Genomic DNA, 25,016 nt, shown 5'->3' with positions numbered 1-25,016 from the left:
GTTCCGGGGAGGGGTTCTGGGGAGGGTTCCGGGGAGGGCTCCGGGGAGGGGCTCCGGGGAGGGGTTCCGGGGAGGGTTCCGGGGAGGGGTTCCGGGGAGGGTTCCCGGAGGTCTCCGGCTTTCTGCAGGGCCGAGGCCGGGAGGGCCTTAGTGCCGTGTGGGTGTGTGGTCGGGGCCTGTGAGGCCACAGGGTGAGCAAGGAAAGCCGTCCATTTTTATGTATGGGAGACTCGTTTTCAAAGGAAGGGAAACGGGCGTGACCCTCCCATCATTGGTCCCATCCCGGAAGACTCGTCACCATGGCCAGCCTGGAGCTGACTCTGTGTGGTGTGTGGGTCACTGCCAGGAACCCACGTGGCAGCCACCTCTCACCCCACCATGGTCACAGCCCTGGTGTGCAGCGTGGTGGCCTCTGCTCCCTCCACCTTCTCTCTTGATGGGGACCCTGGCCCGGCTCTGCCCAGCCCTGCTGTGCTTATCACCGAGATGGGAGCCAAGGGCCTGAGACACCAGCGGTGTGTGCCACGCCCACTCGCCACCTGGCACGTCTCCCAGGTCAGCGCTTGCTGCTGGACAGCTCTGGGCTGGGGAGCTGGAGGACCCGCGGCCAGAGGGTGGCCCCGTGAGCTCAGGGGTGGCTCAGGCATCAGGAAGGCTCCGTCCACACTGGACGCTGTCCCTGACTGCACGTCACTCTGTCACACCGTGGCACTGCCCAGTACCGGTCCTCGCCCTGTGATTTGGGGGTGCCCAAGCATTGCCCCTCACCTGGCCGGCCCATGCATTTTCTGTTCCTCTCCGTTTCTGTCCAGTCTCTGTCCCCTCTGTCTTGTCTCTGTCCTCCTCTGTCCCCTGTCTTGTCTCTGTACCCCATCCCCTCTGTCTTGTTTCTGTCCAGTCTCTGTCCATCTCTGTCCCCCTCTGTCCCGTCTTGTCTCTGTCCAGTCTCTGTCCCCCTCTCCCCTGTCTTGTCTCTGTCCATCTTTTTCCCCCTCTGTCCCCTCTGTCCATCTCTGTCCAATTTCTGTCCCCTTCTGTCCCCTCTGTCTTGTCTCTGTCCATCTCTGTCCAGTCTCTTTCCTGCCCTCTGTACCCCTCTGGCTGCTGTTTCTGTCTAGCCTCTGTCTGATCTCTGTCCAGCGTCCTCACATCTTAGAGCCTCCTGGCCCCCAAGGCAGGTGGGTGAGGGACGGAGCTAGGCCAGCTGGGAGCAATGAGAGTTATTTTCCATTTATTTCATTTACACATCTAAATAATTTGCAGAACATCAACGAAGCACGAGGCAGGAAGAGGACGAAACAGGAACAGCAGACGAGGAGGAGCTGAGGAGGCCCCTGTGCCTGCAGCAGTGAAAATGGATCCCGAGGCTCCTCGTGTTGGGGAAGAGGACGTGGGGTCCCCCGCAAGCCAGTCCATCTCCGTGTCGTTCTGGGGACGCCGGACACATACTGGAAATATCCGAGTTTCGGGAGAAGAGCGGGTCAGGCCCCTCGCCGTCCCCTGGACTCACTTTGCATGGCTGCACCTTCCTCCCCAGGAAGGGGCCCCGTGGCTCCTGTCTAGCGTCCCGGGAGCCGGCCACACCCTGCCGAGACACACCTTCTTTCTGCGTGGTCTGGGCCCCTTCTCCGTGTGTCTCTGTCCTTCCTGTCTGCTCCCAGCCCCAGCGTAGGGTGGGGATCAGGTCCTGGCCGGCTTAGGGCAATGCCAGGCAGCAGCCGCTCCCTCACAGACCCCAGGCTCCCAGCAGAACCTCCGGCGGCTCACCCTTGGGGGCTGGCCCCACCCCGCCTGCCAGCATGCCCTGCCTAGAGGGCAGGGGAGGGTCTGTGGCTGGAGACCAGGGCGGGTGCTCCGGGGAGGGTCTGTGGCTGGAGACCAGGGTGGGTGCTCGGGCCCCTGACAGACCCTACCTGGGCTTTCCTTCCCCCGTAGCCCCTTGTGAGGCCAGGCCAGGCTCACTGTCCCCACGTGCCCCTCGGCCCTGGGACCCCGCACCCAGGCCCTCCTGCTAGCCAGTCCTGCCCTGCATCTTCATTTCGGCTGGCGTGTGTGGCCGCCTCCCTGCTCTGGGCCCTCCCTGGGTGGCCGCGCCGTGTTCAGGGCTCTGGAGGATGCAGTCCTCAGAGGGGAGCCCAGACCCCTCAGCCCGGGTCAGAACTTGCTGGCATCCCTACCTCGCTGTCCGCCCAGCCCCCTTCCCGTGCTCTCGCCCACTGGCCCTGGAGTCCTGCCCATGGTGAGGTGGGTACGCTGGCTCCTGCCTCTCCTTGGGCCCCTCCCTCCACCCCTGAACCCACACCCCCCGGGACTGCCTCTTAGCGTCCCAGGGAGAAGGCTTCTGGCCCCCAGCTGCCCAGGGGAAGGCGGAGGGAGGATGGGGAGGAGAGCCTGGGACAGAGACAGCCCTTCCCCATCACTAGAGGCCAGGGGAAGGCGGAGGGAGGACAGAGACAGCCACTCCCCATCACTAGAGGCCAGGGGAAGGCGGAGGGAGGACAGAGAGGAGAGCCTGGGACAGAGACAGCCACTCCCCATCACTACAGGCCAGGGGAAGGCGGAGGGAGGACGGGGAGGAGAGCCTGGGACAGAGACAGCCCCTCCCCATCACTGGAGGCCAGGGGAAGACGGAGGGAGGACAGAGAGGAGAGCCTGGGACAGAGACAGCCACTCCCCATCACTAGAGGCCAGGGGAAGGCGGAGGGAGGACAGAGAGGAGAGCCTGGGACAGAGACAGCCCCTCCCCATCACTGGAGGCCGGGGAAGGCGGAGGCAGGATGGGGGAGGAGAGCCTGGGACAGAGACAGCCCCTCCCCATCACTGGAGGCCAGGGGAAGACGGAGGGAGGATGGGGAGGAGAGCCTGGGACAGAGACAGCCCCTCCCCGTCAGGCCCCAGGCCCAGCCCCGGCCTGACTCCCAGCCCCCGGGAGGAATTTTGGCTCAGGGTGGCCAGATTTGGCTGAAGGGCAGGGGGGCAGCGGCTCCAGTTTCCCGCCAACTCCTAGTTCTGGGGTGAGACACAGCTCTGTGTTTTTAATCGCGCTGTGGGGTGCCGGAGGCCACCTGGACGGACGGAGCCCGGCCCAACGCCCTGTGAGGACCCGTCAGTCCCAGGCACCTGCATGTGTCCACTCCCGGGATTTCCAGCACTGGGCCCCAGGCACAGCCTGGGTGGTCCTTCGAGCCGAGGTCCCTTAGCTGTGAAACAGGAGAGCACTCGGTTGGAGAGCAGCCCAGTGGTGGGCTCTGCCAAAGGGGCTCCCGTCGGGGCCATGAAATACCCAACAGCCCAGGCCGCTCGGCCTGTGGGTTGCTGTGGGCTTCAGGGAAGCGGGGGTGGGGGGGGGGGCTTGCCAGGAGGTCCCGTTGGGCTGGCTGGAGGTGACAGGAAGATCCCAGGCCTAGCTGGCAGTGGGGTCTGCAGGGGCCCCATGCGGGGAGGGCAGAGGGGGCTGGGGCTTGGACCGGAGTCTCCAGGCTGCTGACCGTTGGGGCTGTGTCCTGCTGTGACCTCACTCACCCCCCAGGCCCTCCCAGCCTGGGTCTCCTTGGCTGCAGGTGGGCAAAAGTGACAGACCAGAACTACCCAGCCTTGGGCCAGTGCCAGCCTGTGCACCTGTCCCGGTGGCTTGGGGCACGCGACGCCTCTGGGCCCTGGGTCAGTCCCAGGAGAACTGGCCTCCCCTGACCCCTGCATGGGGCTGGGCACTTGGCCTGGGAAAAGCCGGAGTCTGGAACAGCCTGGCCGTTGGCCTTGGCAGCCTCGCTTCCAGCTGGGACTGTCATCTGTCTGGAATTCAGATGGAAAAACCTGCCCTTGTGAGTGATGAGGGAAGGTGCCAGACAGCATGGGTTGCACCAAGTGCTTTCCTAGGGGCAGAAAGGGGCCCGTGCACCACGCCACCTCCCGGGGCTGACCCTCCAGGTGGCCAGGAGCGCACCTGTGATGCTGTGCAGGTTCAGGGCAGGAAGAGCGCAAGTCTTTGCCAAGCAGCTCCAGCCATCCTCCCCGGCCAGGGCCGCCTCACCCCACAAGCGCAGTCACTGCTGCCACCTGCAGCGGCGGGCCGCCTTGAGGTCCATTCCACGGGGATGGCCTCCCACAGCGGAGCGTGCCCGGGCAGGTAAACAGCGGAGCCTGCTGGTTGGAGGTGCAACCCACTTCCTGAAGCACACTGTTCCTGGAATGCCTGGGAGTTCAGCAGCTCTAAATGGCAGGTGCTTCTTTGTTGAGGAATAACTCATGTGAAGTGTGGCTTGGGGCCTTGAGACCCCTGCATCCACGCGCCGGTGCACCCCACCCTCCCCGCCGTGGACCCCAGAAGACCATGTCCTCCACGCTCTATTGGGAAGGCGGGAAGGTGGGACCTGGGGGTGTCTGAAAAAGCCCCTTTGAACTTGAGGCCAGTTTGGGGAACGTGGCGTCCACTCCCACTGCCCTGCAGCAGCTCTGGTCGGGGAGCAACGATCAGAAACCAAACCCCAGCCACGCCAGAGCCGCCTGGAGACAGGCCAGACGTGGGGCAGTCTGTGAGGGCGCCTGGCAAACCAATCACCCGCCGCCAGGCACCTGCCACCAGACATCCACCCCCCAGCCGGGGACACAGTTCATTCATGCGATCCTTTGCCCCCCAGGCATGGGCCACCTGCTGCCTTGTTCTCGGGACCAAGGCCCGCCCAGGACACCTTCTCCCTCACCATTTTTGCTCTGGGCTGAAGCAGCTGGGGGTGTGGGTGGAGGGTAGCAGGGGTGGGCATGGTGGGGGGATATGATAGTGCTGGAACCGAGCCCCTATCCTGATGCAGGGGGGGCCCCATCCAGGCTGCTCCACTGCCCAGGGCCTTCCAGGGGAGCTGCACACCCCACACAGCAAAGGCCTCTCCAGCACAGGCCCTACCATTTACCCCATAGGCCAAACCCAAATTTACAAAATCTCTGATCCAGCACAGTCAGTGTCTCACAAAGGGATTTTCAGTCGCCTTTTATGAAAAGAAATTCCTTTCCCAAGTGCACCTAATATCCAGTAAATTCCAGGTGCTTGCAGGGGGGAAACAGGAGGGCTCGTCCCTTGCCGGTGAGTGTCCGCGGCACGGCTGAAGCTGCTTTGGGGAACAGGGAGACAGCGAGACAGCTTCCACCTGCCCAGTGATTCCGCCCCTGGGTTCTACCCAGGGCAAACGAAAGCAGAGGCTGAGGCAGCAGCATTCACAGCAACTTCTTTAGCGACTGCCCACCCAGCGCTGGACCCAGACAGCCACCCCTTAGCAGCGGCAGCGATCCCTCGGCCAGGCCCCGGCAGCAGAAGGGAGGCAGCTGTGCTGCAAACTACTGGAGTCCGGACATGCAGGACCGCAGGCTGCAGGCTCCCATTTGTAAGGAATGCTGGAACCAGCAACACCTGCCAACGGCCTGCAGCAGGGATGCGCCTCGTGGGGGGGGGTTCAGGGTGCCTTGCAGCGGGGGTGGGGGGCCTTGTGGGGAAGTGAGTGGCATTGTGGGGAGGGTCCGGGGGCATTGCGGGGGGTGGGGGGCATTGCGGGGATTGTGGGGAGGGTCTGGGGGGCATTGTGGGGGGTGGAGGGACATGGCAGGGAGGGTCCAGGGGAGCCTGGCAGTGGTCGGGGCCGTGGGCACAGCAGAGCTGTGGTGCTGGGGGCAGCCAGCCATGGACAACGTCAACTAGGACCTGTTAGAGCCGGGGTCTTACTCTTGCTTTCAGGGCAGAAAGGACTTTTGCTGAAATCCCCAGCGGGGCACTCGACCCCTCTAGTGGGTTGTGCCATGCACTCCATTGTCGCCGCCCCCGACCGGCCCCTGGCACCGTGTCCCTCCTACCTGAGCAGGCTCTGACTCCAGCCCTGGACACAGCTGGGGTGGCCACGGTGACTGCTGAGAAGAGGGGCTGTCCACACAGCCTGGTGGCTTGGAGCCCCGGGACCCCCACACCTGGGTCAGGGTGGGGCCGGATGAGGTCTGAGTAAGGGAGTTGGGTGCCAGGGAAGGGCAGGGCCTGGGGTGGGAGGGGAGGAGGGGAGAGGAGGAGAAGGGCCTCCAGGGGTGGCCCAGGGGACGGGGGGCAACGCGTAGATGAACACGCAGGCCTGGGCCCAGCTCTGACCTCCCCAGCTGCAGGCCTCTCGCATGCCATGTCCTCCTCCTCCTCCAAGGCAGGCGCCCGACAGCCCCGTGTGCAGGAGACGCACAGCACTCACCGACCCCAGGCGTGACTACGTTTGAGGCAACCATGAAGGCTTCAGACATTCAAACTTCTTAATAGACCAGGCGTGGTGGCTCACGCCTGGAATCCCAGCACTTTGGGAGGCTGAGGTGGGCGGATCACTTGAGCCCAGGAGTTTGAGACCAGCCTGGGCAACATAGGGAGACCCCCGTCTCTACAAAAAATACAAAAATTAGCCAGGTGTGGTGGCGCGTGCCTGTAATCCCAGCTGCTCAGGAGGCTGAGGTGGGAGGATCACCTGAACCTGGGAGGCGGAGGCTGCAGTGAGCCGAGATCACACCACTGCACTCCAGCCTGGGCAACAGAGCAAGACCCCATCTTAAAAAAATTTAGTAACAATCCTGATTTTAAAGCTGTGTATACCTTTTGGGAGAAATCTGGAAAAGACTCAAAAGTATAAAAAGTAAAAAAACAAAAAACAAAAAAAAACTACCTAAAATTTCCCACCAAGGGCTAACACTGTTGCTTTTTTTTTTTTTTTTTTTTTGAGATGGAGTCTCACCCTGTTGCCCAGGCTGGAGTGCAGTGGTCTGATCTCAGCTCACTGCAATCTCTGCCTCCCGGGTTCAAGTGATTCTCCTGCCTCAGACTCCTGAGTAGCTGGGGTTACAGGTGTCTGCCACCGCACCTGGCTAATTTTTGTATTTTTAGTAGAGATGGGGTTTCACCATGTTGGCTAGGCTGGTCTCGAACTCCTGACCTCGTGATCCACCCGCCTTGGCCTCCCAACGTGCTGAGATTACAGGCGTGAGCTACCGTGCCCGGCCCACTGTTGCTATTTTAAAGTGTCCCTGTGAAGTCTTGATGCATACATGCACACACATGCACCCACACACGCCTACACAGCCATGTGTGCACATGACACAGGGTCGCAGTCTCACACACCACACTCCTACACAGCCACATGTGCACATGACACAGGGTCCCAGTCACACACACGCCACACTCCTACACAGCCACGTGTGCACATGACACAGGGTCCCAGTCACACACACACCACACTCCTACACAGCCACGTGTACACATGACACAGGGTCCCAGTCACACACATGCCACACTCCTACACAGCCACGTGTACACATGACACAGGGTCCCAGTCACACACATGCCACACTCCTACACAGCCACGTGTGCACGACACAGGGTCGCAGTCTCACACACCACACACCTACACAGCCATGTGTGCACATGACACAGGGTCACAGTCTCACAAGCCACACTCCAAATGCCACACTCTCACCACACATCCACACACATTCTTATTTGTTTCAAACGAAACCTGGATTAAGTCACTCGGTTTCACTTTCCAGCTTTCCTCATTGGCCGTCATGCCTTGGATCATTAAGGACACTTTGGAACGGAGCTTTGCTATTCTCTGAAGATACACAAAATCCTCCACTGCTCACGTCATAATCTATTTACCAACTGTGGAAAATTCCGCGGTGCCTGTGGTTTTTAAAGTGATGCTGAAGCGAGCACCTTTGTGCATATGTCTTGATCCACGCCTGATTTTAAAATTTCAGATAAAATCCTAGAAGTGAAATGGCTGGAGAGAGAGTTACAGCAGAGCCAGGTTCTCCGTCCTGCGCGGTTTCTAAGTGAAATGGCTGGAGAGAGAGTCACAGCAGAGCCAGGGGCTCCATCCTGCGCGGTTTCTGCATTTGGTGTTGAGTTGTCCTTTCTGCATCGGAATTCTGACTCCTGAAATCACATTTCTCACCGTGTCTAGGTCATACTTTCAATAATCTTTCAATAACCTTTCTGCTGCTTTTTTTTTTGGAGACGGAGTCTTGCTCTGTCGCCCAGGCTGGAGTGCAATGCAATGGCGTGATCTTGGCTCACTGCAACCTCTGCCTCCCAGGTTCAAGCGATTCTCTTCCCTCCTCCTCCCGAGTAGCTGGGATTACAGGCACACGCCACCACGCCCGGCTAATTTTTTTCGTATTTTTAGTAGAGACAGGGTTTCACCATGTTGGCCAGGCTGGTCTCAAAGTCCTGACCTCAGGTGATCTGCCCGCCTCAGCCTCCCAAAGTGTTGGGATTACAGGCGTGCGCCACCATGCCCAGCTAATTTTTGTATTTTGTGTTTTGGTAGAGACAGGGTTTCACCATGTTGGCCAGGCTGGTCTCAAACTCCTGACCTCAAGTGATTCACCCACCTCAGCCTCCCAAAGTGTTGGGATTACAAGGGTGCGCCACCGCGCCCGGCCCCTGCTTCTCATTTTAGAATACATTCACTGCTACTTCCTCTTCACTCATTATTACTTTATACCCGGCATTTACATATAAAATTCCATCTGGATTTGAGGGTGCTGTCCTCAGTGCCCTTTCCCCGGGACAGAACGCTGCCTGGGCTGCACCCCCTGCCAGAGGGTTCTTGGCAGAGCCCTTTGGTGCTTAGGAAATGTGCAGAAGAGAGAATGCAGAGAGAGAGATACAGAGCAGCCGCCAGGCCTGACGGGCTCCGGGGACCCTGCAACAATGGAGGCTTGGCAGGGCAGGGCCCAGCTGTGGGTGTGGGTGTGAGTCTGCAGTGGTGTGTGAGTGGGTGTGAGTCTGTAGTGGTGTGTGAGTGGGTGTGTCTGCAGTGGTGTGTGAGTGGGCGTGAGTCCAGTGGTGTGAGTGTGAGCGGGTGTGAGTCTGCAGTATTGTGTGGGACCATGTGTGTTCTGGGAGGCAGGGGGCCGGTGCTGCAGCTTACAGAGCTACTTGTCACTGACGTAATTGCTTATGGAGGCCCCCTGGGTGGAAGGCAGGTGCGCTGCGGGGTCGCCAGCGGGCGGGGGGATGCGCAGGCACGGCGCATGGTGACTGGATGATGTGTTGATGAGGACGGGGCCGGGGCTGGGGCTGGGGGTTGCACAGTGGCGCCCACTGCTGCCCCATCCACACCCAGGCAGGGGAAGCGGGCACCGAAGAGAACGTCCCGCTTGTGATCTGGGGTGCACTGTGCTGTGTGTGCCCACCTCTGCATCTTCACGGTTCTTTAATAAGAGGCATTGGAAAGGAGAGAGGGGATCAGGGCTGGGGGACTCCCTCCCGGAACCAGGTGCTCCTCCCGGAGGAACTGCGGATCAATCTGCCAGCCTTTCAGCGAGTGCTTTGTTTTAGTGCCCAGGTCTCCAGGTTTCCTTTCCCAGCCTCTGCCTGCTCCGGTTTCTCAGAGTCCGTTACTTAGATTTTTTTTTTTTTTTTTTTTTTTTTTTTTTTTTTTTTTTTTTGAGATGGAGTCTCGCTCTGTCGCCCAGGCTGGAATGCAGTGGCGCAATCTCGGCTCACTGCAAGCCCCACCTTCCGGGTTCACACCTTTCTCCTGCCTCAGCCTCCAGAGTAGCTGGGACTACAGGTGCCCGCCACCACGCCCGGCTAATTTTTTGTATTTTTAGTAGAGACGGGGTTTCACCATGTTAGCCAGGATGGTCTCGATCTCCTGACCTCGTGATCCGCCCGCCTCGGCCTCCCAAAGTGCTGGGATTACAGGCGTGAGCCACTGCACCCAGTTGTCCCCTGTTACTTAGGTTTTATTTAATTTCTCTCCTGTCCCTGAGTCATTCACCCCTTGTTTTGCTTTCTCCTTTGTCCAGGGGTTTCCCGCAGCCCACACTCACATGCACACGCGTGCCCGTGCCACCCTTTTCTTCACGTTACCCAGCCCTGCCCTGAAGCTCTGCCTTTCCAGGGAATTCTGTCCTCATCGGCCCCGTGCTGACATCCGTGGAGGACACACGTGGTTGTAGATGCCTGCATGGTCACCTCCAGCAACTGTGCCTCACATCATGGGGGCTACCCGCCCTCTCCAAACCCAGGTGGGAGGAGGGGACCCACTCCCCGCCCCTTGGGGACAGCAGGTCGCCCGCTGAGTTGGGTGGAGGGTGGCTCTGGGGTGGTCTTCTCTGGGTCGTGGGGCTGCAGGGCCCCTCCTGGGACTCGAGTCTTCAGCTGTGTTCTGACTTGGAGGCGGGGGGTCATGGATGGGACCATGTTGCTCCAGAAATTCCCTCTTTTGGAGCTTCGTGGCTCTGGAGACGTGGGGGGCCTTCCACAGAAGTGGGGGGTCTGCTGGAAAAGCGGGGGGCCAGGAGCAGTGAGCAGCTGCTGTGAGGCAGTCACTGCCGGTCACCACCCTGGGCCCCGTGCCACATGCAGGTGCTCAGCGCAGAAGCCATGTTGGCGCGAGCAGACCGGAAGGCGGTGGGCAAGAGGTCAAGCGTGGAGTCTCCCCACGTCCTGTGCCCCGCCGTCTGGGCTGCCGCCGAGAGTCTGCGTGTCAGGCGAGGACAGTGCCAGCTGGAACCACCAAGCCAGGGACCAGCTCTGGCTGTCAGATGTTTAATTTTGATTTTGCTTCTCTACAAAGACAGCAGCTTTAGGAATCAGGCTTCGGTTGAGAAAGAGAAAGCACCTCCAACCCCCAAAGCTCTCCTTCTGCATCAGAGAAGCTGCAAGGATGCCTCAAGAGACCAGCCGCCAGCACAGGCCTCAAAGGCAGGTGCACCCCTGCGAGGACGCATGGCTCGGGTGGCTCCTGGGAGCCTCTGGAAGGGGCGTCATCAGCCCTGTCCCACCCTCCGCGGAGCTGCCTGCTCCCCGGGTGATTTTACCAGCAAATCGCTGTTTATTTTTTTCTTTTCTTTCTTTCTTTCTTTTTTTTTTTTTAAGACAGGGTCTCACTCTGTCGCCCAGGCTGGAATGCAATGGCACAATCTCAGCTCATTGCAACCTCTGCTGCCCAGGTTCAAGCGATTCTCCTGCTTCAGCCTCCTGAGTAGCTGGGATTGCAGGCACCTGCCACTGCGCCTGGCTAATTTTGTTGTATTTTTAGTAGAGATGGGGTTTCACCATCTTGGACAGGCTGGTCTTGAACTCCTGAACTTGTGATACACCCGCCTCAGCCTCCCAAAGTGCTGGGATTATAGGCATATGAGCCATCGTGCCTGGCCTTCTTTTCTTTCTTTCTTTTTTTTTTTTTTTTTGAATTTTAAAGATCAGATTTATTTGGAGAAAGCAAAAAACCCCCAACCCGAAGATGGGATTTTACATCTAAGACATCTCCAAGATTACAATCTACAGATTACAAATCCCGGATTACAATCTACAGATTACAAACCATTTTCATAGAAGATATTTTTGTATACATTTTACATGTATTCAGGAGTGGGATGTACATCAGTCTCTCTTTTTTTTTTTTTTTATTGATCATTCTTGGGTGTTTCTCGCAGAGGGGGATTTGGCAGGGTCATAGGACAATAGTGGAGGGAAGGTCAGCAGATAAACAAGTGAACAAAGGTCTCTGGTTTTCCTAGGCAGAGGACCCTGCGGCCTTCCGCAGTGTTTGTGTCCCTGGGTACTTGAGATTAGGGAGTGGTGATGACTCCTAACGAGCGTGCTGCCTTCAAGCATCTGTTTAACAAAGCACATCTTGCACCGCCCTTAATCCATTCAACCCTGAGTGGACACAGCACATGTTTCAGAGAGCACAGGGTTGGGGGTAAGGTCATAGATCAACAGGATCCCAAGGCAGAAGAATTTTTCTTAGTACAGAACAAAATGAAAAGTCTCCCATGTCTACTTCTTTCTACACAGACACGGCAACCATCCGATTTCTCAATCTTTTCCCCACCTTTCCTGCCTTTCTATTCCACAAAACCGCCATTGTCATCATGGCCCGTTCTCAATGAGCTGCTGGGCACACCTCCCAGACGGGGTGGTGGCCGGGCAGAGGGGCTCCTCACTTCCCAGTAGGGGTGGCCGGGCAGAGGCGCCCCTCACCTCCCGGACGGGGTGGCTGGCCGGGCGGGGGGCTGACCCCCCCACCTCCCTCCCAGACGGGGCGGCTGACATCAGTCTCTTTCAATTTTAACAGAGGGACAAGGTCGGGGAGTGGGATCCTTTTGTTTTTAAAGTAAAACACGACAGAACTCACACATTCAGGTGCACAGTTCTGTGGCACTGGCTCGTTCACAGCATCGCCCAGTCACCAGCGTCTAGTTCCAGAGCACTTTCGTAACTCCAGGGGGGAGCTGCAAGCATTGCCCCTCTTCCGGGAGGCCCTGGGGAGAGCGCTGCATGCTTATTCCTGACGCCGGCCACAGTCCTGCCAGCAGAGCTGTGCTCACTCCACTGAGGGGTAGGCACTGGAGGGACCAAGCGGGCATGACCCTTGCCCCAGTGTTCAGATGGAGCCCCAAGGGGCTGGTAGTCTGGGCATGGCCATGGGGTGGGGAGGGGAGGCCAGGCTGGGGGAGGCCATGCAGGGTCCGGGGCCGGGCTGGGGGCTGGAGGGGGGCAGTCGCCAGAGAGAGGATGGTTGGCCAAGCTGGGAGCTGGGGCAGGAAGTCTGTCCAGGAGGCAGTGAGGGGTGAGTGGGGCAGAGACTGCCAATGCTACTGTGAGGTGGGACCTGGATTCCCTTTCTGATCAGACCTGAGCCAGACGTGGATGAGAGGCCAGGAGGCCTGTAGGTGCGGCCACTGACCTTGTCCTCTTGCGTTCTGCACCCAAAGCCTCAGGCCTCTGCTGGGCAGTGCCTTCCCTGCTCCACCCCTCAGCTGGAGCCTCCCCTCCTGGCCACCTTCCCTGCCCCACATCAGGTGCCAGACCAGCCGCCTGCACAGGCCTCAAAGGCAGGTGCACCCTCTACCCCAGCCAGACCCACAGGCTCCCCCTTGAGCTGCCGTTGTCGTCCTGGGGATCCTGCCGGCCGATCCTCCCACACCTCAGATGTGGCGTCCCCCGCGCCTAGGCAGGACACGGAAGCCAGCTCAGGGTTGATTGTTCCAGTGGCAAAGCCACAAGGGATGGAGCCACACAGGCAGGAACAGGAGTCACAGGGCCGCTGGCTGAGAGGAGGAGGGTCCCGGGGGCGGCAGCCGCGCCATGGTCTCCACACGGGCCGGGCACTGGCGCCTGCTGCCCTCTGTGACGAAGCCATGGTCTCCAGAAGCCGGGACTGCGCTGGAGCCTCCTGGAGACCCTCAGGGAGGCGGGTGGGCGCTTCTGGGCATCACGGGAAGGGCGCTGAGGGGAAGCGAGCAGGATCTTTCCAGAAGGGGACGGAGGAGGGGCAGGGCCTGTGATTTGGGAGTTGGGGGGGCTCCCGGGAGTGGCTGGGGCTTTGGGGCGCGTCCCCGCCTGGACTCCAGCCGCCCCTCCGCGTGCTCACGCCGGGGCCCTGGGACCCTCGGGCGCAGGTCGGGCCGGGGCCGCTGGGGCCAGCACGAGGCTGTCAGTGGGCTGTGGGCTGCAGGAAGACAGGGAGCGGCCCGAACAGCGCTGGAAGCGGGCGCGGGGCTGCAGGGAGGGAACGGGCCCCCGGCCTCCCCCGCTGCCCGGGCCCCGCACGCGGCCGCGCAGGTGGTCGCGGTAGTTCCTGGTGAGCAGCGTGTAGAGGAAGGGGTTGGCGCAGCTGTTGCCGTAGGTGAGGCAGGTGGTCAGGTAGTTGACGATGCGCGCCGTCCGCGGCGCCAGCGGGGCCTGGTGGTACTGGGCGAGCAGCTGCCACAGCCAGAAGGGCAGGAAGCAGGCCCAGAAGAGCAGCACGATGCCCAGCACCAGGCGCAGCGCGCGCGCCCCCGGCCGCCGGGCCCGCTTGAAGGAGGCGCGCTGCGAGCGGCGGTAGGCGCGGGCCAGGCGCGCGTAGAGCAGCCCGATGAGCAGCCCGGGCCCCGCGATGCTGGTGGCGAAGAGCAGCGTCAGGTAGGCGCGGTGGGCGCGCGGGCCCCAGGCGGGCAGGCACAGGCTCTTGGGACCCCGGCGCACCAGCCGCATGGCCAGCATCACGGGCAGCGTCAGCAGCAGCGCCAGCAGCCAGGTGCCCAGCGCCAGCAGCTTGCGGTAGCCCTTGGGGCGCTGCACGGTGTCCAGCGGCCGCAGCACCGCAGCGTAGCGCTCGCTGCTCATGACGGTCAGCGTGAAGATGCTGGCGTGCATGGTCAGGAAGTCCAGGCCGAAGAGCACGCGGCAGCCCACGTCCCCGAAGTGCCACTCCTTGGTGACGTAGGTGGCCACGATGAAGGGGATGCTGAGCAGGTACAGCAGGTCGGCCAGCGCCAGGTTGACCACGTAGACGTACATGGAGGCCACCGCACGCAGGGAGCGGCAGGTGACCACCAGCGTGTAGGCGTTGCCCACCACGCCCACCACGCCCATGGCCGACAGCAGAGTCCCAATGGTGCCCGTGGCCACCAGGTCCTCCAGGGAGCTGGGCTCGGTCGGGCTGGCCCAGGAGCTGTTGAGGGTTGCGTTGGGGCCGCCAGGCGGCTCCGGCACAGAGCTGCCAGTGGCGGCCAGCCCAGGGAAGCTGCTCGGGGACTCGGGGGTCAGCGCCATCTCTGACCCCTCACGACGGGCTCAGGGCTGGGTGGACACTCCCTGAGATGGGGCGGGGGCCCCTGTGGGCAACCAGCTCAGCCTGTGGGGAAAGAAGCAAATCAGGCAACACCTTCCGCTCCCAGGAGGCCACTGTGATGGCCTCGTTCCCACAGAGTCACGTGGGCTCCCCAGTGCCCTCCAACTCTCGGGACTCTCTGGAAGCCACCAGCTCTGCAGGAGGACTCAAGAGCCACCAGACGAGCTGCCCCAACCCCCCTCCCCGACCCCCGCATGCCCCAGCAGGACCCCTGCCCCCCCCTCACTGTAGGTCCCATGGCCTCTGGGATGAACTGGGCTTTTCTGAAAGCCGGAACACAGGAGGGCAGCCCCTGGGGCAGAGGTCGGCAGTGGACAGAACTGGGAGTCCTGGGCTCTGCCCATTGCGCCCCCCCAGGCCTCACTTTCTTGTCTGTGCACAGGTGGGGCCCACTTACTCCTGAGTCCTTTCTCGTATTTATTTGACTTGTACATTTAAAAAAATGTTTTCTTTAGATTGCAAAACTAGTAGCTACTGACTTTAAAAGTCCAAATAGAAGAACATGTAAGGAGAGGAAGGCCTCTGCAATCTCCATTTCTCATACAGGGAAACGAATTCAAGATGGATTGCAGGCCTAAGTGTGAAAGGTTAAATCAGTCAGTCGAGGTTCTGGAAGAAAACGGGAATACTGGCATAACCTTGGATGGGAAAATATTTCTTAAAAATGAACAAAAAATACTTTCAATAAAAGACTAAGCAAATGGGTTTCATTAAAATTAAGAACTTTACCAAGAGAGCGAAATCATAAGCCACAGGCTAGGAGATCATCAGAAAACATATATCAGGCCAGTTGCAGTGGCTCACGCCTGTAATCCCAGCACTTTAGGAGGCCTAGGCAAGTGGATCACCTGAGGTCAGGAGTTCGAAACCGGCCTGGCCAACATCTCGAAACCCCGTCTCTACTAAAAATACAAAAATTAGTCGGGCATGGTGGCACACGCCTGTAATCCCAGCTGCTCGGGAGGCTGAGGCAGGAGAATTGTTTGAACTCGGGAGGTGGAAGTTGCAGTGAGCCAAGATTGAGATTGTGCCACCGCACTCCAGCCTGGGCAACAAAGTGAGACTTTGTCTCAGAGAAAAAAAAAAAGAAGAAACATAGACAAAAAGCTGGTAAGAAAAATATAGGGAAGAACTGCAAATTAGTAAGGAAAAGACAAACAACCCATTTGAAAAAAAGAGACCAAAACCGTGACCGGGGACTTCCTGAAAAGGACACCCACGCAGCCAACAAGCAGGGAAATGCCAGTCAGGGCCACAGGAGCCCCTGCGTGCTGACAAGGATGAACGCGTGAAAAGGCAGATATCCTTGTCAACAGGCGTGGGGGCTGTGGAGGAGCTGGCCCTGCCGTTTCCTGTTGCTGGGAACCTGGACTGTGCCGCCGCTTTGGAAAGCCATTGGCACGATTTGCAGAGTTGACCGCCTATACCTTCTCACCCGGCAATTCTACTCTCAGGTTAGTACCTTAGATAAAGGGCTGCCAACGTTCAGAAAATGACAAGCGTGCGAAAGTTCACGGCAGCTTGACTCCTAAGAAGCTGGAAACAGCTCAAATGTCCCCAGTGGACGGGGCAGGCAAACTGTGACATGAAGCCAGTGAAGGAGTCGCCGCTGGGGTCAGCAGCCTGGATGAAACAGCGCGGTGGTGGGCTGAAGAAACAAGACACAGGAGGCTGCCTGATTCCACGAGCCACGCTGAATTTAGGCCGAACACTCATGGCTGCGCAGGGAGCAGTCTTGGCTGGGGTGGGGAGTTGTCAACAGGTGGGGGCGCTGGGGGCCTTCCAGGGCCTGGAAATGTGCCCTGTCCGCCCTTTCCCACCAGGCCGAGCAGCTCCCAGCTCCATCTGTCCAGGGGACCCTCACCCCCTTGCTGCCCCCACCCAGGGCATTTCCAGAGCCCTCACCCAGGGGACGGCGCAGAAGCCGAGGGTGCACCGGGCTCCCCAGTTGTGCGCGAGCCCGAGTCACGGGCAGGGGGACAGCGGCCGCCGGGCCGCTAGGATTGCTCCAGGGTCGCTAGGGGGGAAGGGGAGGGGCCGAAAGTTCCACGGCACGGGAGAAGCCGCCTCGCTGGACCCCGCTCCCCTCGCCCAGGGTGGGTTCCCACCGCGAAACCCCGGCCCAGCCCTGCGGAGGGCCCCGAAGGGCACAGACCCGGCAGTCCCCGCGCGCTCCCGGTCACCCACCGAGGACCCACCTGCCTCCGGTCACTGAGCGGCCAGACCTGCCCGCCGAGCCTGGGGTCGCGCGTGGGGGCAGCCGCTCGCGGCTCCAAACTCCTCGCGCAGCGGGGCCGCGGGGAACTTTCCGAGGCGCGCTCCCCTGTCCCAGCGCAGAGGGGGCGCGAGGGGCTCCGCGGTGGCCTCGGCTTCCAGAGCACACGGCAGGGGCGCCCGCCAGTCCCGCCACCAAAGCCGCGCCCCCCGCCCCGCGCCGGGTCTCTGCGCCGCCGCCACCTGCCCGCCGCCAGCTGGGAATGCGCCGCGCCCCGCGCCAGGGCCCGGTATTAAAATAACCCCAGCGGGCAGCAGGCGCGCGGAGGGGACGGCGCCGGGTGTCTAGGGGGCGGCGCTGACCGCGCGGCGCCGGGAAGACGCGGGGGTCGCGGGGCCGCAGCGGGGTCGGCGGAGGGTCCCAGGCGGGTCTCGCGTCTGCGTCTGCGGAGCGAAGCTGCCTCCAGCCCGGCTGCCCCAAGGCTGACCCCGCAGCCCCTCTTGGGTTCTCCGCCTCCAGCGTTCACCCCTGCGCCCCTCACGCCCGTGTTTGCAGGGCACGGAGCCTGGGATTCTCCGTGTCCACCAAGCCCTGGACCCGCCCGCGCGCAGGTGGGGGGCAGGAACACCCCTAAACCCCGAGAGGGTCATAGAAAGGAGGTAAGGGAGGGAGGGAGTCACCCGCCCAGGCGGGGACGGGCTCTTTGGGGGCCTTGACCCCGCCCCTGTTGCGGGTCTCCCACAGATGCTCTTAGAAGCCCACGCAGCCTCTCCAGGCCTCGGCAGGGACTCGTGGTGGCCACATCCACGGAAGTGACGCTGGGAGCTGCAGGGCCCCGCGGGGTAGGAGGAAGGACCCCACAGCCTCACCCTCGAGCCCCTGAGCTGGGTGCTGGCCCCCACTCGGTTTCACTTGCTGCTCGGAGGTAGGATGTGGGCCTTCACTCATGCTGAACCCCTGAAAGAAAAAGACACAGAACATTAATAAATTAGACTAGAGGAGAGCTGGAGAGCTGTGAACACGGGGTCTAAAGGGCCCCCAGCGAGGAGCTGGCCTCGCCCACTCCACTCCGCCCGGGGCTCATCTGCTGCCTGAGGCCGCGGACCGGCCCCTAAAGCTGAAGGGGTTCTGCTGGGGGAGAGGAGGTGGCCAAGTGTGAATGGCCGAGAGGCTCCTGCAATCAGCTGGATCCGGGGGAGCCCCAGATGCCCACCAGTCCCCTCCGTGGGACGTTTGCCACGTGCTGGGGAGGCGAGGCTGGGCTGGAGAGGGCGGGAAAAGTCCCTCTGGTCTCCGAGCGTCCGCTGGACGGAGCAAGGGTCACACAATAAGACAGTTCATTCTCTGTGAGCTGAAAACAGCCGAACTGAAACCAAATACAGCTGCAGCTTCCGACCCGAAAGGGGAGCAGCTCATCCTGCCTGTGCGCGGGAGGAAAGGGGGTGGAAGGCTGCCTCCGACGTGATGGTTCTGTGAGAGCTGATTACTAAGCTGGAGTCTAGGGGCTAGGGCTGGGGAAAAGCACTCAGGACCCAGAATGCCTGCTCCAAGAATTAAATTTCCCGCAAGCCAGCTGCCGAAACGATCTGCTGTCACCTCAGCCAGTTCACCGAGTAGCTGCTGAAACGACCTGCCCTGACACGAACACCGGGTTTTTTATTTTTTATTTTATTTTTTTATTATTTATTTATTTATTTTTTTGAGATGGGGTCTCACTCTTTCACCCGGGCTGGAGTGCAGTGGTGCGATCTCGGCTCACTGCAACCTCGGCTCACTGCAACCTCCACCTCCCAGGCTCAAGCAATTCTCCTGCCTCAGCCTCCCAAGTAGCTGGGATTACAGGCACCCGCCACCACACCCAGCTAATTTTTGTGTTTGTAGTAGACGGGGTTTCATCATGTTGGCCGGGTAGGTCTCGAACTCCTGAGCTCAGGTGATCTGCCCACCTCAGCCTCCCAAAGTGCTAGGATTACAGGCGTGAGCCACCGTGCCTGGCCTCCAGTGCTGGTTTTACCACTGAGGCCACTCGCCTGAGCTTGCCAGCTCCCCCGAACTACCAGTGCCAACGGGCTTTCTTTCAAAGCAATAGATAACGTTTCTCTTTCCAAAAGAATCCCGATTTTCTTTTGTTCTTGAACATACCGAATTGAAATTCTTCCTAAAATTAAACATTAAACTTAAAGATTTGTCTGTATATTTGGACTTTGACAGTTGCTATGTATAAAATGCTTCAGCAAGGAAATAATAATCTGATTATTGTTTCCTTGCTGCTTCATATCTTATGTGATCCATAATTGATGGGGGAAAAATAGCCGATAGAAGCAGGTCCATATGTGACACAAGTATTGGAATTAGCAGACCAGGAGTTTCTGTTTTACAAAAACTGTTACAAATATAGTAAAGCAAGCAGAAGAACCTGGGCAACATGCATGAAAAGATGGAAATTTTCACCAGAAAATGGGAATGTATTTCTTTCTTTATTTGAGACAGGGTCTCGCTCTAAGGTCTAGCCTAGGCTCGCCCAGGCTGGAGTGCAGGGGTGTGATCATGGCTCACCGCAGCTTTCTTTGACTTCCTACACTCAAGCAATTCTCCTACCTCCCGAGTAGCTGGGACTACAGACATGCACCGCTACACTACACTTGGCTAATTTTTGTATTTTTTGTAGAGACAAGTTTCACCATGTTGCCCAGCCACTACGCCCAACCCCATTTGACTCTTTTATTAGAAATTCCCAGGCTGGGCACTGTGGCTAACACCTGTAATCCCAGCACTTTTTTTTTTTTTTTTTTTTTTGAGATGGAGTCTCACTCTGTCGCCCAGGCTGGAGTGCAGTGGCGTGATCTTGACTCACTGCAACCTCCGCCTCCCAGGTTCAAGCAATTCTCTGCCTCAGCCTCCCGAGTGACTGGGATTACAGGTGCCCACCACCACACCCAACTAATTTTTGTATTTTTTTTTTTTTTTTTGAGACAGAGTCTCGCTGGTCGCCCAGGCTGGAGTGCAGTGGCGCAATCTCGGCTCACTGCAAGCTCTGCCTCCCGGGTTCATGCCATTCTCCTGCCTCAGCCTCCCGAGTAGCTGGGACTACAGGTGCCCACCACCGTGCCTGGCTAATTTTTTGTATTTTTAGTAGAGACGGGGTTTCACTGTGTTAGCCAGGATGGTCTCGATCTCCTGACCTCGTGATCCGCCCGCCTCGGCCTCCCAAAGTGCTGGGATTACAGGTGCCCACCACCGCTCTCAGCCTAATTTTTGTATTTTTAGTAGAGATGGGCTTTCACTATCTTGGCCAGGCTGGTCTTGAACTCCTGACCTCGTGATCTGCCCACCTCGGCCTCCCAAAGTGCTAGGATTACAGGCATGAGCCACCGCACCCGGCCAATCCCAGTACTTTTGAAAACTGAGGCAGGATGATCACTCGAGTCTAGAAGTTTGAGACCAGCCTGGGCACATAATGAGACCCTCCATTTCTATTTCTAAAAAAATTTTTTAAAGGGTGAAGGAAATAATGTATACAGTGGTCCATTTCCAAGACAGTGTGCCTTGAATCGGCTTAGGTCAGCAAACTACAGAAGAACAGGATATACTAGGCCCCAGCTTGGATAGTGGATGCCTGCTTGTCGGCCTCATCCACTCCCTTTTAACCCCCTCTTAGTTGCCCTCACCCAAATCAAAGAAGTTTAAGATGAAATTTTACTAGCCTGCAAAATAGCTGGTTTGATCTATTCTTATCAGCCTGCCCAGCTACTTAGGTCATAAGTCAAATACTTAAAGAGCCCCTGAGCTAACTAGGATTGCAATGCATTGTGGGCTGCAACAAAATGCAGCAGGACAACCCTGAAGAAAACACCTACAGCACCTGCCCAACAACCAATAGGCGACATCCGGGAAGATTGTGACCCGAGAGTACTCAGCCTATGAGGAACCTGGGGAGGGACCTGCACCCTGCAGCCCCTGCCCAACAACCAATAGGCGACATGCAGGAAGACTGTGATCCCCTAGTACTCAGCCTATGAGGAAGCTGGGGAGGGACCTGTGCCCTACAGCCCCTGCCCAACAACCAATAGGCGACATGCGGGAAGACTGTGACCCCAGAGTACTCAGCCTATGAGGAACCGGGGGAGGGATCTGTGCACTAGGGGATAAATTGCTTGTTGAAACTGCTGGGTGTGCCTGCCCACCAGACACCCGATCTTGCCGTCATTAAAAGCCTCGCTTTCGCTGTTCTCCAGGTCCCTGAGTCAGTTCTTTGGATTTGGACGGATGAGTTTCTTTCTCACAAGGGTCAAATGGACATTTTATAACTTTTAAAAGTACAGTATCTAAAATTCAGAAATCACAGCAGAAGAAAGAATCAGTTAACTTAAAGGTAGGTCAATAGAAATTATCCAGACACAGAAAGAGAAAAGAATGAAAAACAGAAAAGCCTGTGGAACCACACCATCAAATGATCTGACGTACATGTCACTGGAGTCCCCAGATCAACAACAGAGGAAAATGGGGCAGGAGCAATATCTGAAAAGGCAGTGGCTGAAATTTTCAAAATTGATAAGCAATGTCAACTTACAGACATTAGAATCTTAGTAAATCACAAGCAGGAAAAAACTAAAAGCAAACAACTCCAGCGCATTGTAGTAAAAAATTCCAAAAACCAAAGGTAAACAGAAACTGTAAAAATTATTGAGATTAAAAAAAAAAAAAAGACAATGCATTCAGGGAATAACAATAGGAAAGATGACTAGATCTCCTCAGAAAACCATGGAAACCGAAAGAGAATGACCTCTTTAAAGTACCAAAATAAAGAATTTTAACCAACAATTTATGTACAATAAAATATAGATACTTTCAGACAAAGCTAAGAACATTTGTCACAGCACAAAAAAATACTAAAGGAGCTCCTCAGGCTTTCCTTCTGCTGACAGAAAATGACCCCAGATAGAAACTCGGAAGTGCATGGAAAAATGAAGTGCACCAGGAAGGTAAATATGTTTGTAAATTAAAAAGATGAGGACTATGCAGCAATAGCTCTGGTGGCGCATGATGATGATAACACGTGTCAACTAATATCCAAGACAACAATAGCACCAGGTCTCTGGAGAAGGGTGAGTGAAATTACACAGTTGGAAAGCTCTTTGTTGTTGTGTAAGAATTCACATTTCAGGCCGGGCGCGGTGGCTCACACCTGTAATCCCAGCGCTTTAGTGCAAAGTGGCTCTGCCTGCCTATGATTCACTTTATGGACCATTAAATCATAAATCATAATCATAAAGCTCCCATTTTCCACAAATGTGACTTTTGAAGCTTTGCTCTGCACTTAATGGGTTCATTATGTTTTGCAATGATAATTTTTGTGAAAGAAGTACTTTCCAATTGGATTACTAAATTCTGTAGAAAATGAGGTTCCACAGACAGAGCTGGTTTCATGGGGCTCTTTTCAGGTGCCCATCCAGCCTGATGTTTGTGTTTTTCAGACTTGAAGAGGATGCTTTGTTCAGAACCCACTCCACCTCTCAGGTGCTTAGAGACCAGAGGCCCATCCTGCCGCAGACACTGGGGCAGAGATGCTTGATGAAAATAAGGGAACGTGGCCGAGCGCAGTGGCTCATATCTGTAATCCTAACACTTTGGGAGGCTGAGGTGGGAGGATCGCTTGAGCCCAGGAGTTCAAGGCCAGCCCGAGCAACATAGTGAGACCCTGTCTCTATAAAAAGAAAATAAAAATAAAAATAAATAAGGGAATAAAAGTGAGGGGTGGAGGCAGCTCAGGCTGAGTGCACCCCAGATGGAGTTAGGGAACCTCATGAGGAGCAAAGACTGGGCCGTGCAGAAACGGCCAGGCCCTCAAAGCCCCAACTAGAGCTCAGCCATCAGCCATCAGCTGCCTGGGATCCTGCCCAGGGAGCGTGGGCCCACTTCATTACCCAGAGCTGAGGGCTCTTTCTTTTGGAAGGAGGTCCCAGGGGGACACCCCTGCAGGGCCTCCCACCTCTCCCAGAGCACCTCTGCAGCTGGTGATTTCACTTTACTCTTCCAGGAGACACTTCCCTTGATGCTGCTGTTGGTATTTTCCTTTACTTTTGACCTCAGGCACCACAATTTCCCCAGTCTTGGTCTCAAACACCTCCAGATATGAGACACAGCTGGAGAGATGGTAACATGAATCAAACCAATTAGAACCTGCACGGGTCTCCAGCTGGTGGTGGCCCTATTAATTAGCAGAGAGCCTCAGACATCTGAGCAATTGCAGGGGATGAAAGGGCTTAAGCTGGCAGGAGACAACATGGAATTCCGAGCACTTCCCCTGACTTAAAGTGTCCAAGCTCGTGAAAGCTCAGACATAGGGAGAGTGAGGAGAAATGTCTAGTGTACATAATAGTCTTTTCTCAGAATCAACTTTTGGGGGCCCCCTGGGAGTCCCAACACTACAGCCTCCCTGGCCCCATGAGGCCACTTGAAAGCTGGCTAACCTTTGGGAAAAGGTTCCAGTTCAGGATTCAGGAAACCTCACGTCCTGAGTGAAGAGGCTGGATGCAGAGCTCTAGAAAGCCCCTCCAGGGATTCCAAAGGTCAGAGTCAGGGCTGGGGTGAGGGCAGAAACCCCAGAGGCCCCAGATTTCTCTTGCAAGCATACAACCAAAGGCACACGTGTGTACCACGCCATGGGGCCAAACTCCTCACCCCGTGTCATGTAACAGAGTGTGGGGGTTCCTTCCTTCTCAGCGTGCTCATTCCACTTCTTCCTGCCTTCCTGGGAGGCAAGGAGGTCAGGGGCCCCACCTCCTTCTTGAAGGACTATCATCCACATCCGTGTCTGACAGCAGCGGAGGGCCCCAATGCTGAAACTAATGGAGGGGCCTCAGCAGCAGCCAAATCCAAGGAGGCAGAGCCCTTTATCCTTCAGGTCTCTTCCTGTGGGCCTTCTTTACTATCTTCACTATCTCCATCACCATTATTACCACCACCACTATAACCATCACCACCGTCATAGCCATCATCATCATTGGCATCATCTGTCTCCTCAACATTAGCAAACTTTTTTTTTTTTTAGATGGAGTCTCACTCTCTCACCTAGGATGGAGTTCAATGGCACGATCTTGGCTCACTGCAACCTCCGCCTCCCAGGTTCAAGCGATTCTCTTGCCTCAGCCTTCCAAGTGGCTGGGATTACAGGCACGCGCCACCACGCCCAGCTAATTTTTGTATTTTTAGTAGAGACGGGATTTCACCATGTTGGCCAGGATGGTCTCGACTTCCTGACCTCGTGATCCACCCACCTCGGCCTCCCAAAGTGCTGGGATTACAGGCGTGAGCCACCGTGCCTGGCCAACATTAGCAACCTTTACATGTGGTTTGGTCTATAGACTTAAAAAAAATTTTGGGGCACATATCTATATTAATTATATGTTTGACAACACATTTTTATTGTTCAAAACATGGCTGTTCTTTAAGTATGTATTTTTATTTATTTATTTTTATTTTTTGATATAGGGTCTCACTGTTGCCCAGGCTGGAGTGTAATGGCATGATCTTGGCTCACTGCAGCGTGAACTCCCAGGCTCAAGCAATCCTCCCACCTCAGCCTTCCAAGTAGCTGGGACTACAGGCACACACCACCACGCCTGGATCATTTTTGTATTTTTTGTAGAGATAGTGTTTTGCCACGTTGCCCAGGTTGGTCTCAAACCCCTGAGCTCGTGATCCACCCGCCTCGGCCTCCCAAAGTGCCGGGATTACAGGCATGTGCCACCTCGCCTGGCCTATTTTATTTTTTGATACAGGGTCTTGCTCTGTCGCCCAGGCTGAAGTGCAGTGGTACAATCACAGCTCACTGCGGTCTTGACCTCCTGGACTCAAGCAATCCTCCTGCCTCAGCCTCCTGAGTAGATGGGACTACATGTGCATGCCACCACACCCAGCTAACTTTTTTTATTGTTAGTAGAGATGAAATCTCACTATGATGCCGAGGCTGGTTTCGAATTCCTGGGCTGACCTAATCCCAAAATGCTGGGGTTATAGGCATGTGCCACTGTGCCTGGCCCTGTATTTCTTTATAAATAATGTGAAACAAACTCCCATGATGAGCCTGGAAACCGACCAGAACCCTCATCTCTCCCGTGCTCCTCTTCCCTTCTATCCTCTGTTCCCACCAT

The 25,016-nt window shown here is 57.2% G+C and overlaps 1 protein-coding gene and 1 long non-coding RNA gene across 3 annotated transcripts, besides 5 other annotated features; both read right to left on the bottom strand.

The window, feature by feature from the left end:
- Positions 1–1,214: 1,214 nt before the first annotated feature.
- On the bottom strand, positions 1,215–4,070 carry LOC124904092 (uncharacterized). Its single transcript, XR_007065959.1, has 3 exons — positions 3,944–4,070; positions 3,121–3,200; positions 1,215–1,448 (listed from the first exon to the last, which is right to left on the bottom strand). It is a non-coding gene; the product is annotated as an uncharacterized LOC124904092 (long non-coding RNA).
- Positions 2,884–3,569: an enhancer, noted in NCBI's record as "H3K27ac-H3K4me1 hESC enhancer chr17:80343201-80343886 (GRCh37/hg19 assembly coordinates)". NCBI's record gives its function as "activates a minimal SCP1, AML or CMV promoter by ChIP-STARR-seq in naive H9 embryonic stem cells {active_cell/tissue: H9 hESC(naive)}" and the evidence as "EXISTENCE:reporter gene assay evidence [ECO:0000049][PMID:30033119]".
- Positions 8,390–8,889: an enhancer, noted in NCBI's record as "H3K4me1 hESC enhancer chr17:80337881-80338380 (GRCh37/hg19 assembly coordinates)". NCBI's record gives its function as "activates a minimal SCP1, AML or CMV promoter by ChIP-STARR-seq in naive H9 embryonic stem cells {active_cell/tissue: H9 hESC(naive)}" and the evidence as "EXISTENCE:reporter gene assay evidence [ECO:0000049][PMID:30033119]".
- Positions 8,890–9,391: an enhancer, noted in NCBI's record as "H3K4me1 hESC enhancer chr17:80337379-80337880 (GRCh37/hg19 assembly coordinates)". NCBI's record gives its function as "activates a minimal SCP1, AML or CMV promoter by ChIP-STARR-seq in naive H9 embryonic stem cells {active_cell/tissue: H9 hESC(naive)}" and the evidence as "EXISTENCE:reporter gene assay evidence [ECO:0000049][PMID:30033119]".
- Positions 11,374–12,243: an enhancer, noted in NCBI's record as "NANOG-H3K27ac-H3K4me1 hESC enhancer chr17:80334527-80335396 (GRCh37/hg19 assembly coordinates)". NCBI's record gives its function as "activates a minimal SCP1, AML or CMV promoter by ChIP-STARR-seq in naive H9 embryonic stem cells {active_cell/tissue: H9 hESC(naive)}" and the evidence as "EXISTENCE:reporter gene assay evidence [ECO:0000049][PMID:30033119]".
- On the bottom strand, positions 11,436–17,129 carry UTS2R (urotensin 2 receptor). 2 transcript variants are annotated; one of them, NM_018949.3, is made up of 3 exons: positions 16,847–17,129; positions 16,111–16,296; positions 11,436–14,651 (listed from the first exon to the last, which is right to left on the bottom strand). In NM_018949.3, the coding sequence occupies exon 3, from the start codon at positions 14,567–14,569 to the stop codon at positions 13,400–13,402; it is 1,170 nt and encodes a 389-aa protein (NP_061822.1). In that variant the 5' UTR covers positions 14,570–14,651; positions 16,111–16,296; positions 16,847–17,129; the 3' UTR covers positions 11,436–13,399. The 2 variants fall into 2 exon arrangements, with proteins under 2 accessions (NP_061822.1, NP_001368826.1); NM_001381897.1 differs by lacking the exon at positions 16,111–16,296.
- Positions 11,527–11,821: a silencer, noted in NCBI's record as "tiled region #5835; K562 Repressive DNase matched - State 23:Low". NCBI's record gives its function as "represses a minimal TATA promoter and a strong SV40 promoter by Sharpr-MPRA in K562 cells {active_cell/tissue: K562}" and the evidence as "EXISTENCE:reporter gene assay evidence [ECO:0000049][PMID:27701403]".
- Positions 17,130–25,016: the final 7,887 nt, after the last annotated feature.

The sequence above is a fragment of the Homo sapiens genome, chromosome 17 (genome assembly GCF_000001405.40).
Source record: "Homo sapiens chromosome 17, GRCh38.p14 Primary Assembly".
Classification (NCBI taxonomy): domain Eukaryota; kingdom Metazoa; phylum Chordata; class Mammalia; order Primates; family Hominidae; genus Homo; species Homo sapiens.
This window is presented reverse-complemented; position numbering and strand designations above follow the sequence as displayed.

Excerpts from the sequence above, each read along its gene's own strand:
- UTS2R (NM_018949.3), bottom strand. The coding sequence starts at position 14,569 with ATGGCGCTGACCCCCGAGTCCCCGAGCAGCTTCCCTGGGCTGGCCGCC.